Genomic DNA, 17,576 nt, shown 5'->3' with positions numbered 1-17,576 from the left:
GACATTTAAAGAACATTTTGGCCAGGTGCAGTGGCTCACATCTGTAATACCAACACTTTGGGAAGCTGAAGCAGGAGGTTCACTTGAGCGCAGGAGTTCAAGACTAGCGTGAGCAACACAGCAAGACCCTATCTCTACAAAATATTTTTTAAAGAACATTTTACCCAACTGCTGCAGAATACACATTATTTTGACCAGTACATGAAACATTCTCCAAGATAGACCATACCTTATGTCACAAAACAAGTCTTAACAAACTCAAAACAGTAGAAATCGTATCAAATATCCTTTCTGACCACAATGGAATAAAACTAGAAATCAATAACAAGAGGAACCTCAGAAAATACACAAACACAAAGAAATTAAACATGCTCCTAAACAGTCAATGGTCAGTGAAGAAATTAAGAAAGACATTTAAAAATTCTTGAAACAAATGCAAATGGAAATACAATATACCAAAATCTATGGGACACAGCAAATGCAGTGCTAAGAGGGAATTTTATAGCAAAAAACACCAATATCAAAAAGTAGAAAGACTTGGCCAGGGATGATGACTCATACCCCTAATCTCAGCACTTCGAGAGGCTGAGGCAGGAGGATCACCTGAGGCCAGGAGTTTGAGACCAGCCTGGGCAACATAGCAAGACCACATCTCTACAAAAACTAAAAAAATTAGTTGGGTATGGTGGTGCGCACCTATAGTTCTTAGGAGGCTGAGACAGGAGGATTTCTTGAGTCCAGAAATCTGAGGCTGCAGTGAGCTATGGCCATGCCACTTCACTCCAGCCTGGGTGACAGAGCAAGACCCTGTCTCAAAAAAAAAAAAAATATATATATATATATATATATAAAGACTTGAAATAAATAACATAATGATACACTTCAAGGAACTAGAAAAGCAGGAACAAATCAAACCCAAAATTAATAGAAGGAAAGAAATAGTAAAGATCAGAGTGAGCCGGGCGTGGTGGCTCACGCCTGTAATCCCAGCACTTTGGGAGGCCAAGGCAGGTGGATCACGAGGTCAGGAGTTCAAGACCAGCCTGGCCAATATGGTAAAACCCCATCTCTACTAAAAATACAAAAATTAGCCGGGTGTGGTGGCACGTTCCTGTAGTTCCGGCTGTTAGGGAGGCTGAGGCAGGAGAATTGCTTGAACCCAGGAGGCGGAGGTTGCAGTGAGCTGAGATCACGCCACCACTGCACTCCAGCCTGAGTGACAGAGCAAGACTCTGTCTCAAAAAGAAAGAAAGAAAGAAAGAAAATCAGAGTGGAAATAAAAGAATTGAGACTAAAAAACAATATAGAAGATTGACAAAGTTAAAAGTTGATTTTTTGAAAAAATAAATAAAATCAACAAACCTTTAGCTAGACTAAGAAAAAAAGAAGTAAGACCCAAACAAATAAAATCAGAAATAAAAAAGGATACATAACAACTGAGACCCTAGGACTACAAAGAATTAGCCAGGTGCAGTGGCTCATGCCTATAATCCCAGTACTTTGGGAGGCTGAGGTGGGAGGATTGCTACAGCTCAGGAGTTTGAGACCAGCCTGGGCAACATGGCAAGACTCTATAACTACAAAAAATGTAAAAATTAGCCATGTGTGGTGGCATGGACCTATAGTCCCAACTACTCAGGAGGCTCAGGCAAGAGGATGGCTTGAGCCAGGGAGGTTGAGGCTGCCGTGAGCCATAATTGCACCGCTGCACACTAGTGTGGGCTACAGAGAGAGACTCTGTCTCAAAACAAAACAACAAAAAAAAAAGACTACAAAGAATCATTAGAGACTATTATGAACAACTATTAATACACACCAACAAATTGACAAATCTAGAGGAAATGGATAAATTCTCGGACACATAGAATCTAGAATCTACCAAGATTGAACCATGAAGAAGTAGAAAATATTGACAAACCAATAACAAGTTGGAGATGAAAGCCATAATAAAAAGTTTCCTGTCAAAGAAAAGCCCAAGATCCAATGGCTTCACTGCTGAATTCTACTAAATGTTTAAAGAATTATTACCAATTCTACTAAAACTCTTCAAAACAATTGACAAGAAGGGAATACTTCCAAACTCATTCTATGAGATTAGTATTACCCTGATATCAAAATCAAACAAGGACATAACTAAAAAGGAAAACTACAGGCCAATACCACTGGTGAACATAGATGCAAAAGTCCTCAGTGAAATACTAGCAAACTGAATTCAACAACACACTTAAAAAATCATTTCCCATGATCAAGCGGGGTTCATCTCAAGGATACAAGGATGGCTCAATGTACCCAAATTGATAAATGCGATACATCAATTAACAGAACCAAGAACAAAAACCATGTGATCATTTCAATAGATGCTGAAAAAGTATTTGATAAAATTCAACATCCCTTTATGATCTAAAAAAAAAAAAAAACCCTCAACAGGCCAGGCAAGATGGCTCACCCCTGTAATCCTAGCACTTTAGGAGGCCCACGCCAGCAGATCGCTTGAGCTCACGAGTTCGAGACCAGCTTGGGCAACACAGAGAAACCCCATCTACATAAAATACAAAAAAAGTTAGCCAGGCATGGTGGTGAACACGCACCTGTAATCCCAGCTACTCAGGAGACTGAGATGGGAGGATGACTTGAACCTGGGAGGCTGAGGTTGCAGTGAGCCCACTACACTCCAGCCTGGGCAATAGAAACAGACCTTGTCTCAAAAAATAAACAAACAAACAAACTCAACATACTGGATATAGAGAAAACACACTTCAGAATAATAAAGATCATGTATGACAAACCCACAGTTAACATGCTACTGAGTAGGGGGAAATTGAAAGCCTCTTTTTTTTTTTGAGACAGAGTCACCCAGGCTGGAGTGTGCAGTGGTGCAATCTCGGCTCATTGCAACATCTGCCTCCCAGTTCAAGCAATCCTCCCACCTCAGCCTCCCGAGTAGCTAGAATTACAGGCATGCACCACCACACCTGGCTAATTTTTTTTCTTTTATTTTTAGTAGAGACAGGGTTTCACCATGTTGGCCAGGCTGGTATCAAAGTCCTGACCTCAAGTGATCTGCCTGCCTTGGCCTCCCAAAGTGCTGGGATTACAGGCGTGAGCTACCACACCCAGCCTCCTCTAAGATCTGTAATAAGACAAGGATGCCCACTTTCACCACTTTTATTCAACATAACACTGGAAGTCCTGGCCAGAGCAATTAGGCAAGAGAAACAATTAAAGGGCATCCAAGTTGGAAAGGAAGGTGTCAAATTAGCCTCGTTCACAGACAACATTATCTTAGACTTAGAAAAATCTAAAGATTCCACCAAAAAACTCTTAGAACTGCCAAATTCAGTAAAGTTGCAGGATACAATTAACATTTAAAAAATCAGTAGCATTTATATACACCAACAGCCAACAATCTGAAGAAGAAATCCAAAAGCAATCCCATTTACGATAGCTACAAAGAATATAAAATACCCAGGAATCGGCTGGGCATGGTGGCTCATGCCTGTAATCCCAGCACTTTGGGAGGCTGAGGGTGGATCACAAGGTCAGGAGTTCAAGACCAGCCTGACCAACATGGTGAAACCCCGTCTCTACTAAAAATACAAAAATTAGCCAGGTGTGGTGGCACGTGCCTGTAATCCCAGCTACTCAGGAGGCTGAGGCAGGCGAATCTCTTGAACCCGGGAGGAGGAGGTTGCAGTGAGTGGAGATCATGCCACTGCACTCCAGCCTGGGCAACAGAGTGGACTCCATCTCAAGAAAAAAAAAATACCTAGGAATCAATCTAACCAAAGAAGTGAAAGATCTACACAAGCAAAACCATAAAACACTGATGAAAAGAATTGAAGAGGATGCAAAAATATGGAAAGATGTTTCATACTCATAGACTGGAAGAATTAATATTGTTAAAATGACAATTCTACCCAAAGCAATTTACAGATTAAGTGCAATCCTCATCAAAATACCAATGACATTCTTCACAGAGATAGAAAAAAAAATCCTAAAATTTATTTGGAACTACACAAGACTCTGAATGGCCAAAGCTATCCTGAACAAAAAGAACAAAGCTGGAGCTATCATACTACCAGACGTCCAAATACACTACAAAGCTATGGTAATCAAATCAGCATAGTACTGGTACAAAAACACACAGACCAATGGAACAGGATAGAGAACTCAGATATAAATCCACACATTTACAGACAACTCATTTTCAACAAAATCATCAAGAATATACAATGGGAAAAGGACAAGCTGTTCCATAAATGATGCTGGGGGAAATTGATAACTATAGGCAGAAATATGAAATTAGACCCCTATCTCTCACCACATACAAAAATTGATCAAAATGGATTAAAGACTTAAATCTAAGACCTGAAACTATGAAACTACTAGAAGAAAGCATTGGGGAAATGCTCCAGGACATTGGCATGGGCAAAGGTTTCTTGAGTAAGACTTCAAAAGCATAGACAACCAAAGCAAAAATAGATAGGATTACAACAAGCTAAGAAGCTTTGCATAGCAAAGGAAACAGTCAACAAAGTGAAGAGACAACCCACGGAATGGAAGAAAATATTTGCAAACTATCCATCTGACAAGAGATTAATAATGAGAATACATAAGGAGTTCAAACAACTCAATAGGAAAACAAACAAAACTAATAATCCAATTTAAAAATGAGCAAAAGATCTGAATAGATATTTCTCAAAAAGATGACATGCAAGTGGCCAACAGGTACATGAAAAAATGCTTAGCATCACTAATCACCAGGGAAATGCAAATCAAAATCACAATAAGATGTCATCTAACCCCAATTAAAATGGCTTTTACCAAAACAATAGAGAATAACAAATGCAGCCAGGTGCAGTGGTTCATGCCTGTAATCCCAGTATTTGGGAGGCCTAGGCAGGTGGATCACATGAGGCCAGGAGTTTGAGACCAGCCATGACCAAATGGCAAAACCCCGCCTCTACCAAAACTACAAAAAGTAGCTGGGCATGGTGGTGCATGTCTGTAATCCCAGCTACTCGGGAGGCTGAGGCACAAGAATTGCTTGAACCCAGGAGGCGTAGGTTGCAGTGAGCCAAGATCGTGCCACTGCACTCTGGCCTGGGCAACAGAACAAGACTTTTTCTCAATAACAACAAAAAAGAATAACAAATGCTAGCGAAGATGTAGAGAAAGGAGAATCTTTGTGCACTGTTGGTAGGAATGTAAATTATTAGTACAGCCACTATGGAAACAAGATGAAGTTTCTACAAAAAACTAAAAATTTGACCAGGTGTGGTGGCTCATGCCTGTAATCCCAGCACTTTGGGAGGCTGAGGCGGGCAGATCACCTGAGGTCGGGAGTTCGAGACCAGCCTGACCAACATGGAGAAACCCTGTCTCTACTAAAAATACAAAATTAGCTGGGCGTGGTGGTGAGTGCCTGTAATCCCAGCTACTCGGGAGGCTGAGGCAGGAGAATCACTTGAATGTGGGAGGCAGAGGTTGCGGTGAGCCAAGATCGTGCCATTGCACTCCAGCCTGGGCAACAAGAGCAAAACTCCATCTCAAATAAAGAAAAAAAAAAAATTAAAAATTAGAATTACCATATGACCCAGCAATTTCACTACTGGGTATGTACCTAAAAGAAAAGAAATCAATAAATTGAAAAGATATTACACTCCCATGTTTTTTGCAGCACTATTCACAGTAGCCATAATATGAAATCAACCTAAGTGTCCATCAGTGAATGAATGGATAAGGAACATGTGGTATATATACACAATGGAATATTATTCAACCATAAAAAAGAATAAAATCCTCTCATTTTCAGCAACATAGATGGAACTGGAGATCATTGTGTTAAGTGAAATGAGCCAGCCACAAAAACATTAATATCACATGTTCTAACTTTTTTGGACCTGAGGTGGGAAATTGTTTAAAATGTTCTAACTTATATGTGGAAGCTAAAAATGTGGATCTCATGAACATAGAGAGTAGATTTGTGGTAACCAGAGGCCAGGAAGGGGGTGGGGGGATGAATATATGGTTTAATAGAAGAATATACGGTTTGATAGAAGAAATAAAACCTAGTGTTTGATAGATCAGTAAAGTGACTATAGTTTATAATAATCTATTATGTATTTCAAAATAGCTCCAAGTAGGCCGGGCACAGTGGCTCATGCCTGTAATCCTAGCACTTTGGGAAGCCCAGGTGGGCAGATCACCTGAGGTTGGCAGTTCGAGACCAGCCTGGCCAACATGGCCTCTACTAAAACACAGCCTCAGCCTCCCAAGTAGCTGGGATTACAGGCATGCACCGCCATGCCTTAGCCTGGCTAATTTTGTATTTTTAGCAGAGATGGGGTTTCACCATGTTGGCCAGGCTGGTCTCGAACTCTTGACCTCAGGTAATCTGTCCACCTCGGCTTCCCAAAGTGCTGGGATTACAGGCATGAGCCACTGCCCTGCCTTTTTTTTTTTTTTTTTGGAGAAAGAGCAACCTCAAAGTATGGGGCTTAAGTGATCCTCCCACCTCAGCCTCTGGAGTAGCTGGGACTACAGGGGCACACCACCACACCTGGCTAGCTTTTTTAATTTTTTTGGTTTTGGTTTTTTTTTTTTTTTTTTTTTGAGACAAAGTCTCACTAGAGTGCAATGGCGCATCTCAGCTCACTGCAACCTCTGCCTCCCAGAATCAAGCAATCCTCCCACCTCAGCCTACCAAGTAGCTGGGACCTCAGCTATGCACCACTACATCCAGCTAGTTTTGGGGTTTTTTTGTAGAGATGGGGTTTTGCCATGTTCCCAAGGCTGGTCTCAAACACCTAGCGCAAGTGTTTTCTCAAATTTTTTGTAGAGATGGGATCTCACTATGTTGCCCAGGCTGGTCTCAAATTCCTGGCCTCGAGCAATCCTTCCACCTTCATCTCCCAAAGTGTGGGATGACAGGAATGAGCCACTGTGCCCAGCCTTAGTTTATGTACAAATATAAATCATTACTGTGAGATAAAATGAAGCACTAGTATGGGATTTAGTAATGCTCAGGTTTTTTCCGCATATCTGATGTCCTGGACAACTCTGGCCTTGACCCTCAGCCTCGCCAAGCCCCCAGCTCCTCTTTTTGCTGTAGAGCAAGGCTGCATTGCTCTGAGAGTCTCGTGAGTCCTAACCGCACATCCCACCCACACTTGCACAAGAGTTAATACTTAGATCAAGTTGTAGCAAAATAAGACTTTACTTTGCTTTATTAAGACTAAAATAAGCAAAATAAGCAGTACCCCAGCAGAAAGTAACCTGGCTGCTTGCTACATTTTGGGCATCTTGCTCATGCCACTGCCCAGGGCTCAGAGATATAGGCTGCAAGACCACTAGCTTGAGATCAGCCTTCTTCCCTCATCCTCTGCTCCCTGGACCCAGTCATTAACAGCACACAAGCATGTGCACATCAGTATGAGGCAGGGTACCTCACTGTGTACCTAGATCCAGTACAGCCCCGATGGTTGCCCCAGGGGTTGACAGTATTGCCCACTTCCCCTTTACCAGTGCATCCCACCCCAGGGAAAATGCAGGTTCTTCTCTCAGTTTCATTGGGTGAGGAGGAAGGTCCAATCCCTTAGCCTGACTCCCAAGGCCCCCTGTTTCCAACAGCAAGTTTCTCTCTTTGCAGCCATCATAGGAAGCAAATGGGCTAAGGAGGGAGGAGGGGTACCGGAAGATGCTGGACTTTGGGGGCCATGAATCTCACAAAGCTATTGTTCTCTCCCCAGACGGGGAAAAAGGAGATGTATACCCCATTTGCCCAATTTCAGAGGGTTTACAGTCCCTAAGGCCTGTCCTTGGGTCTTTCAGTTCATGGATCTCAGGTTAAAAATCCCTGTGCCATAGTGAACCCAGTCTCACAGAGATGTGTAGAGAAACAAAGCAAAACCATTATATGTCCAGGGTGGTATCTGTCAAGCAGGTTCCCTTTTCAGCAAGCCAAACCTGGGAGCAGTGAGAGGCGGGGACAGTCAGACAGCGAAGGCCAGCCATGAAGAACATTCTGGAATCATGATCTGATAAGCAGAGGGGAGCTGTGCAACCAGCCAGCAGTGGCCAGACAGAGGAAATGCAGTGTCTGGCAGCTGGCCATCTTCACCCTCTCCCACCAGCAGCATCTCTGGCCCCATCCTGACCCCTGGTGGCTGCCGGGAGATGAGGAGGAAAATCTTTTCAAGCTCCTCCCCGCTCTAAGGGCAGGGGGAAGCTCCCAGGTCCCAGCACAGATGAAAAGCTGTACCCTCCCACCTCCACCCCCACAGGCCTCAGCTGAGGTCCCCAGGAGGTGCCAGCATGTTTAGGGCACCTTCAGGAGGATTTGCTCCACTGGAGTCACCAGATGCCTACTTAATATAAGCCTAGCAATCAATCAAACAAATGTATACTGTATAAAACACTTTTCACCTATCAAGTTGGCAAAAATGTGTGTCTGTCTGTGTATCTGTGTATCTCTGTGCGTATGTGTGTGTGTGTGTGTGTTACAACTAAAGATCAATGCAGGTCAGGGTGCAATAAGACAAGCACTTTCATGAACAATTGGTGAGGGTGTAAATTTGTACAAACTTTCTAGCAGAGATGCTGGTAAAATAAAGCCAAAATCTTTAAAAATGTTTCTATCCTGTGACTCAGAGATCCTTATGTTAAGAATCCAGCCTGAAGAAATCAATAGACTGATATAACATGATACCTGGAATTTGAAATAAATGAGGGAGGAGAAAACAAGATTGGACAAGAGTGAGAATTACTGCAGCTGGGTGATAGATACATGGGGGTTCTTTATTCTATTCTGTTTACTTTGGTACATGTTTGAAATGTTCCATGATAAAACTTTTTTTTATAAAACTTTTTAAAGAAAGTATCAGAGGCCGGGCGTGGCGGCTCATGCCTGTAATCCCAACACTTTGGGAGGTCGAGGCAGGAGGATTGCTTGAGCTCAGGAGTTCGAGACCAGCCTGGGCAACATGGCAAAACCCTGTCTCTACAAAAAAAAATACAAAAAATTAGCCAGGCATCGTGGTGCACACCTGTGGTCCCAGCTACTTGATCCTGGGAGGATGAGGCTGCAGTGAAATATAATCATGCCACTGCACTCCAGCCTGGGTGACAGAGTGAGACCCCTCAAAAAAAAGAAAGAAAGCATCAGAGATACAAAGATTTGTATACGAACATGTTAATTTTTTTTTTTTTTTTTGAAACTGAGTTTTGTTCTCATTGCCAGGCTGGAGTGCAATGGCACAATCTTGGCTCACTGCAACCTCCACCTCCCAGGTTCAAGTGATTCTCCTGCCTCAGCCTCCCGAGTAGCTGGGACTACAGGCATGTGCCACCACTCCTGGCTAATTTTGTATTTTTTTAGTAGAGATGGGGTTTCTCCATGCTGGTCAAGCTGGTCTGGAATTCCCGACCTCAGGTGATCTGCCTGCCTCGGCCTCCCAAAGTGCTGGGATTACAGGTGTGAGCCACCACACCTGGTCACTTGTTAATTTTTAATAGAAAAAAATGTAAAAGTGCTATGCTAAAATAAACAAATTATTGTGCATCCAAACACTGGAATATTATATAGCCATTTAAAAATCAAGGATGTTTTAATGACATGGAAAATGCTTACAATGTGCCTGGCTCACACCTGTAATCCCAGCACTTTGGGAGGCTGAGGTGGGCAGATCACTTGAGGTTAGGAGTTTGTAACCAGCCTGGTCAACATGGCGAAACCCTGTCTCTACTAAAAATACAAAAATTAGTCTGGGCAAGGTGGCTCACACCTGTAATCCCAGCACTTTTGGAGGCCGAGGCGGGTGGATCACCTGAGGTCAGGAGTTCAAGACCAGCCTGAACGACATGGTGAAACCCGTCCTCTACTAAAAATACAAAATTAGCCAGGCGTGGTGGTGCCCACCTGTAACCCCAGCTATTCGGGAGGCTGAGGCAGGAGAATCGCTTGAACCTGGGAGGTGGAGGTTACAGTGAGCCGAGATCATGCCATTGCACTCCTGCCTGGGTGACAAGAGTGAGACTCTGTCTCAAAAAAAGAAAAAAAAATTAGCCAGGCATGGTGGTAGGAGCCTGTAATCCCTCCTACTCAAGAGGCTGGGGCAGGAGAATTGCTTGAACCTAGGAGGGGAGGGGTTCAGTGAGGCGAGATCACGCCACTGCACTCCAGCCTAGGAGACAGAGCAAGATTTCATCTCAAAAAAAAAAAAAAAAGTCCTCTCAGCCCAAAATCTCCTTAAGCTGATAAGCAACTTCAGCAAAGTCTCAGGATACAAAATCAATGTGCAAAAATCACAAGCATTCCTATACACAGACAAACAGACAAACAGAAAGCCAAATCATGAGTGAACTCCCATTCACAATTGCTACAAAGAAAATAAAATACCTAGGAATACAACTTACAAGGGATGTGAAGGACCTCTTCAAGGAGAACTACAAACCACTGCTCAAGGAAATAAGAGAGGATACAAACAAATGGAAAAACATTCCATGCTCATGGATAGGAAGAATCAGTATCGTGAAAATGGCCATACTGCCCAAAGTAATTTATACATTCAATGCTATCCCCATCAAGCTACCATTGACTTTCTTCACAAAATTGGAAAAAACTACTTTAAACTTCATATGGAACCAAAAAAGAACCCACATAGACAAGACAATCTTAAGCAAAAAGAACAAAGTTGGAGGCATCATGCTACCTGACTTCAAACTATACTACAAGGCTATAGTAACCAAAACATCATGGTACTGGTACCAAAACAGATATATAGACCAATGGAACAGAACAGAGCCCTCAGAAATAACACCACACATCTACAACCATCTGATCTTTGACAAACCTGACACAAACAAGCAATGGGGAAAAGTTTCCCTATTTAATAAATGGTGTTGGAAAAACTGGCTAGCCATATGCAGAAAACTGAAACTAGACCCCTTCTTTACACCTTACACAAACATCAACTCAAGATGGATTAAAGACTTAAACATAAGATCTAAAGCCATAAAAATCCTAGAAGAAAACCTGGGCAATACCATTCAGGACGTAGGCATGGGCAAAGACTTCATGAGTAAAACACCAAAAGCAATGGCAACAAAAGCCAAAATTGACAAATGGAATCTAATTAAACTAAAGAGCACAGCAAAAGAAACTATCATCAGAGTGAAAGGCAACCTACAGAATGGGAGAAAATTTTTGCAATCTATCCATCTGACAAAGGTCTAATATCCAGAATCTACAAAGAACTTAAACAAATTTACAAGAAAAAACAACCCCAGTAAAAAGTGGGCAAAGGATATGAACAGACACTTCTCAAAAGAAGACATTTATACAGCCAACAAACATATGAAAAAATGCTCATTATCACTGGTCATTAGAGAAATGCAAATCAAAACTACAAGGAGATACTATCTCACACCAGTTAGAATGGCAAACATTAAAAAGTCAGGAAACAACAGATGCTGGAGAGGATGTGGAGAAATAGGAACACTTTTACACTGTTGGTGGGAGTGTAAATTAGTTCAAACATCGTGGAAGACAGTGTGGCGATTCCTCAAGGATCTAGAACCAGAAATACCATTTGACCTAGCAATCCCATTACTGGGTATATACCCAAAGGATTATAAATCATTCTACTATAAAGACACATGCACACATATGTTTATTGCGGCACTATTCACAATAGCAAAGACTTGGAACCAACCTGAATGTCCATGAATGATAGAATGGATAAAGAAAATGTGGTACATATACACCATGGAATACTATGCAGCCATAAAAAAAGGATGAGTTCATGTCCTTTGCAGGGACATAGATGAAGCTGGAAACCATCATTCTCAGCAAACTATCACAAGAACAGAAAACCAAATGAGAGGTGACAGCATGCTGGCAGTCCTCAGAGCCCTCGCTTGCTCTCGGCACCTCCCCTGCCTGGGCTCCCACTTTGGTGGCATTTGAGGAGCCCTTCAGCCCCCCACTGCACTGTGGGAGCCCCTTTCTGGGCTGGCCAAGGCCGGAGCCCACTCCCTCAGCTTGCAGGGAGGTGTGGAGGGAGAGGCACCAGTGGGAACCGGGGCTGCATGCGGCGCTTGTGGGCCAGCTGGAGTTCCGGGTGGGCGTGGGCTTGGCGGGCCCCGCACTCGGAGCAACCAGCCAGCCCTGCTGGCCCCGGGCAATGGGGGACTTAGCACCCGGGCCAGTGGCTGCGGAGGGTGTACTGAGTCCCCCAGCAGTGCTGGCCCACCGGCGCTGCGCTCGATTTCTTGCCAGGGCCTTAGCTGCCTTCCCATGGGGCAGGACTCGGGACCTGCAGCCCGCCATGCCTGAGCCTCCCACCCACTCCATGGTTTCCTGTGCGGCCCGAGCCTCCCCGACGAGCACCACCCCCTGCTCCACTGCGCCCAGTCCCATCGACCACCCAAGGGCTGAGGAATGCGAGCACACGGTGCAGGACTGGCAGGCAGCTCCACCTGCAGCCCCGGTGCAGGATCCACTAGGTGAAGCCAGCTGGGCTCCTGAGTCTGGTGGGGACGTGGAGAGTCTTTATATCTAGCTCAGGGATTGTAAATACACCAATCAGCACTCTGTGTTTAGCTCAAGGTTTGTGAGTGCACCAATCGACACTCTGTATCTAGCTGCTCTGGTGAGGACATGGAGAACCTTTATGTCTAGCTCAAGGATTGTAAATACACCAATCGGCACTCTGTATCTATCTCAAGGTTTGTAAACACACCAATCAGCACCCTGTGTTTAGCTGAAGGTTTGTGAGTGCACCAATCGACACTCTGTATCTAGCTGCTCTGGTGGGGCCTTGGAGAACCTGTGTGTTGAAACTCTGTATCTAACTAATCTGATGGGGACGTGGAGTCTTTATATCTAGCTCAGGGATTGTAAACGCACCAATCAGCACCCTGACAAAACAGGCCACTCAGCTCTACCAATCAGCAGGATGTGGGTGGGGCCAGATAAGAGAATAAAAGCAGGCTGCCCGAGCCAGCATTGGCAACCCGCTCGGGTCCCCTTCCACACTGTGGAAGCTTTGTTCTTTCACTCTTTGCAATAAATCTTGCTACTGCTCACGCTTTGGGTCCACGCTCCTTTTATGAGCTGTAACACTCACCGTGAAGATCTGCAGCTTCACTCCTGAACCCAGCGAGACAACGAGCCCACCAGGAGGAACGAACAACTCCAGACGCGCTACCTTAAGAGCTGTAACACTCACCGCGAAGGTCTGCAGCTTCACTCCTGAGCCAGCGAGACCACGAACCCACCAGAAGGAAGAAACTCAGAGCACATCTGAACATCAGAAGGAACAAACTTCAGACGCGCCACCTTAAGAGCTGTAACACTCACCACGAGGGTCCGCGGCTTCATTCTTGAAGTCAGTGAGACCAAGAACCCACCAACGCCGGACACACAAACACTGCATGTTCTCACTCATAAGTGGGAGTTGAACAAGGAGAACACATGGACACAGGAAGGGTAATATCACACACTGTGGCCTGTAGGGGGGTGGGGGGCTATGGGACGGACAGCATTAGGAGAAATACCTAATGTAGGTGATGGGTTGATGGGTGCAGCAAACCACCATGGCACGTGTATACCTATGTAACAAACCTGCACCTTCTGCACATGTACCCCAGAACTTAAAGTATAATAAAAAAAAATGCTTACAATGAAAACTAAGTGAATAAGTAGGATACAAAATTGTATATGCACTGTTTTTAATTATGTTAAAAGTACATAGAAGACTATATAAAAATATACTAAACTGTTATACAGTGAGACTAGGGGTGGTTTTAATTTTTATTCTTGATATGCTGTATTTTCTTATTCTACAATGAGCATGTTTTATAAACAGGACCCCCAAAATTGCATTTGTTAAAGCATATTAACTTGGGAGTCTGATATATATCAAGCTCCAAGGGCTGCCATCTATTAGCTGGGCAACATTAAGCAAATTAACTGCTGGGTCCCAGATTTCTCACCTATAAAACTGGCATAATGCCAATCTATTTTTCAAGCCATTATTTACTGGGCACTCACTATGTGCTGGACACTATGCCAAGTGGTTTTCCCTCCTATATTATACATATTATGCATACTTACACTTCATACATGATCATTTTGATCCTCAAAATAAGGCATGGAGTAGATTATCATAATCCTATTTTAGAGATAAACAAACTGCAGCTCAGAAAAGTTAGGTGATATGCTCAGGTTCACCCAACTAGTAGGTGGCAGATAGAGTCAGAATTCAGACATAAGTCTGACCATCTTTGGACACCTAGCTCCAGGCCTCCAGCCTGGACTGCTCACAGTGACAGTTTTGCTGTGAGGATGGAATGAGGTCATACAGATTGCGCGCCAAGCACAGTACCTGGCTCCTAGCACAGAGCTGCTCCTTCAAACATTACTTCCCGTTTCTCTGACACCTGAATGTTGGTAAATTGTGGCAAAACAAACCAGTGCACTCTCTGAAAAAAAAAAGTGCCCCTGCCCTGAAGGAGGGAACTGTAGAGCCTGTAGGGACAGAAAAGAAAGGGGCTGGAAGGCTGGCTCACTCAGGGAGACATGGGGGCGCTGGGACTGTGCATCCCACATTCTGGGAGTACTTCTGTCAGAGATTTCTTCGGGACTTCATTGGACCCTACACTTAATTTGCAGCTCAGAATACAGTATAGCTTCCAACAAGGCATCACACCCTGTCACCTCTTCTCCCTAAGAAACAAGGCACGGGTGTTCCAGGACCATAGGTTGGTTTTTCTTTTCTTGTTTTCCCTTTTGCTTGGAGAAAAGGGGAATTTTAGGGGTGGAGTGGGACAAGGCTCTGTGTGGAGAAGGAAAGGTTGACACCCTAGGCTGAATATCTAGAGGTGAGCAACACAGCTTGGCCTGCCCCAGAACTCCCTTCTGGATTCATCTTAAATGCCTCTTTCTTTAGAGCACCAGCCTCAGGTGGATTCCATCCCTATTCTCTACTCCCACCCCACAAACTTGATGTGGCACTAACCACACTAGAGTTTCTTGTTGGTTGCCTGCCTTTACTACAAGGTGTGTCCAGAATTTGTGGGTTCTTGGTCTCACTGACTTCAAGAAAGAATTCGCGGACCCTCCCGTGGAGTGTTACAGTTTTTTTTTTTTTTTTTTTTTTTGAGACGGAGTCTTGCTCTGTCGCCCAGGCTGGCGTGCAGTGGCACAATCTCGGCTCACTGCAAGCTCCGCCTCCCAGGTTCACACCATTCTCCTGCCTCAGCCTCCCGAGTAGCTGGGACTACAGGCGCCTGCCACCAAGCCCGGCTAATTTTTTGTATTTTTAGTAGAGACGGCGATGAGTGTTACAGTTCTTAAAGGCGGCGCGTCCAGAGTTTGTTCCTTCTGATGTTCGGATGTGTTCGGAGTCTCTTCCTTCTGGTTGGTTCGTGGTCTCGCTGGCTTCAGAAATGAAGCTGCAGACCTTCACGGTGACTGTTACAGCTCATAAAGGCAGTGTGGACCCAAACAGCCAACAGCAGCAGGATTTATTGCAAAGAGCGAAAGAACAAAGCTTCCACCCTCTGGAAGGGGACCCTACCCGATTGCCACGGCAGGCTGGGGCAGCCTGCTTTTAATCTCTTATCTGGCCTCACCCACATCCTGCTGATTGGTCCATTTTACAGAGAGCCGACTGGTCTGTTTTACAGAGAGCTGATTAGTCCTTTTTGACAGGGAGCTGACTGGTGCATTTACAATCCCTGAGCTAGACACAAAAGTTCTCCAAGTCCTCACTAGATTAGCTAGATACAGAGTGCTGATTGGTGCATTTACAAACCTTGAGCTAGATACAGAGTGCCAATTGGTGTATTCACAATCCCTTAGCTAGACATACAGGTTCTCCAAGTCCCCACCAGATCAGCTAGACACAGAGCGCAGATTGGTGCATTTACAAACCTTGAGCTAGACACAGGGTGCTGACTGGTGCATTTACAAACTTTGAGCTAGACACAGAGTGCTGATTGGTGTGTTCACAGACCTTGAGCTAGATACAGAGTGCCGATTGGTGTATTTACAATCCCTTAGCAAGACATAAAGGTTCTCCAAGCCTCCACTAGACTCAGGAGCCCAGCTGGCTTCACCCAGTGGATCCCCCACCAGGCCGCAGGTGGAGCTGCCTGCCAGTCCTGCCCCTGCGCCCGCACTCCTCAGCCCGCACTCCTCAGCGCTTGGGTGGTGGATGGGACAGGGCTCCGCTGAGCAGGGGGCAGAGCTCCTTGGGGAGGCACAGGAGCCCACGGCCGGGGGAGGGGGGGAGGAGGGAGTGGGGGTAGGGGGGTGAGGGGGGTTAGGGTAGGGGGGTGAGGGGGGTGGGGTAGGGGGGTGAGGTGGGGGGGTAGGGTGAGGGGAGTGGGGTGGGGGGATGGGGTGAGAGGAGTGGGGTGAGGGGGGGTGGGGTGGTGTGAGGGGGGCTCAGGCATGGCCGGCTGCAGGTCCCGAGCCCTGCCCTGCAGGGACGCAGCTAAGGCCCGACGAGAAATCCAGCACAGCGCCAGTAAGCCGAAACTGTTGGGGGACCAGGCGCACCCTCTGCAGCTGCTGGCCTGAGTGCTAAGCCCCTCACTGCCCAGCGCCGGCGGGGCCAGCTGGCCGCTCTGAGTGCAGGGCCGCCAAGCCCACACTCACCCAGTTCCCGCCCGTGCCTCTCCCTCCACACGTCCCGGCAAGCTGAGGGAGCCGGCTCCAACCTCAGCCATCCCAGGAAGGGGCTCCCACAGTGCAGCTGCGGGCTGAAGGGCTCCTCAAGCCTGGCCAGAGTGGGCGCCAAGGTTGAGGAGGTGCCAAGAGCAAGCGAGGGCTGCGAGGGCTGCGAGGGCTGCCAGCACTCTGTCACCTCTCAACAGTAGTAAACTCCATGAGGGCAGGCCTCACAGTGTTCACCACTGTGTCTCTAGCACCTGGCTATGTGGGTGGTACACAGTAAACTATGTAGATACTTGATGAATAGAGAAATGAGTGAATGAATAAATGAATAAACTCTCCATCAACAGTCATGCCCCAAGTGGACCCACAGCTGACCTGTTCTATGCTAAGCACTTAGAAGATGTGGTCCCTTTCCTGGAGGCTTAAATTTTACATTTCTCCAACCTCATGTAAATTGTGGGAAGACACGATGCAAGAGAAATCCCTATTTATTCCAAACCTCATGCTCTTTATTTTACCAGAGTACTCAAAATGGAGGCCCTGAGCCTAAGGGAGGGTCCCCAAGTTCATGGAATCCTGGCAGGAATTACAGGGCTCAAATGGTCTGAAGTCTAGTGTTCTACTGCTAGCTCTGCCAGTTCTGTTGTCATTCACCTCTGGTGAATGACTTCCCCTCTGGGCCTTAGTTCTCTTCTCTGTAAAATGGGAATGCAGTGGGGGAGGAGTGGTGGACCAAGCTGTGTATGAAAATAGGGGCAATTTAGTGCATTTGACTATGTACTCTGTTGTGTGTAATTGGACACAGTGTCCTCCTTCCTAAAAAGGCTTAGAGGCAGGGATAGAACTAGATGCAGAGTCTAAGTAAACTAAGGGGAGAGGGAAGACAGTG

The 17,576-nt window shown here is 45.4% G+C and overlaps 1 annotated feature.

Moving 5' to 3' along the window:
- Positions 11,682 to 12,181: an enhancer, noted in NCBI's record as "H3K27ac-H3K4me1 hESC enhancer chr14:24054355-24054854 (GRCh37/hg19 assembly coordinates)". NCBI's record gives its function as "activates a minimal SCP1, AML or CMV promoter by ChIP-STARR-seq in naive H9 embryonic stem cells {active_cell/tissue: H9 hESC(naive)}" and the evidence as "EXISTENCE:reporter gene assay evidence [ECO:0000049][PMID:30033119]".

This window comes from Homo sapiens, chromosome 14 (assembly GCF_000001405.40).
Source record: "Homo sapiens chromosome 14, GRCh38.p14 Primary Assembly".
Taxonomy (NCBI): domain Eukaryota; kingdom Metazoa; phylum Chordata; class Mammalia; order Primates; family Hominidae; genus Homo; species Homo sapiens.
The sequence above is the reverse complement of the archived record's forward strand: the minus strand, read 5'-3'. Positions and strand labels throughout refer to the sequence as shown.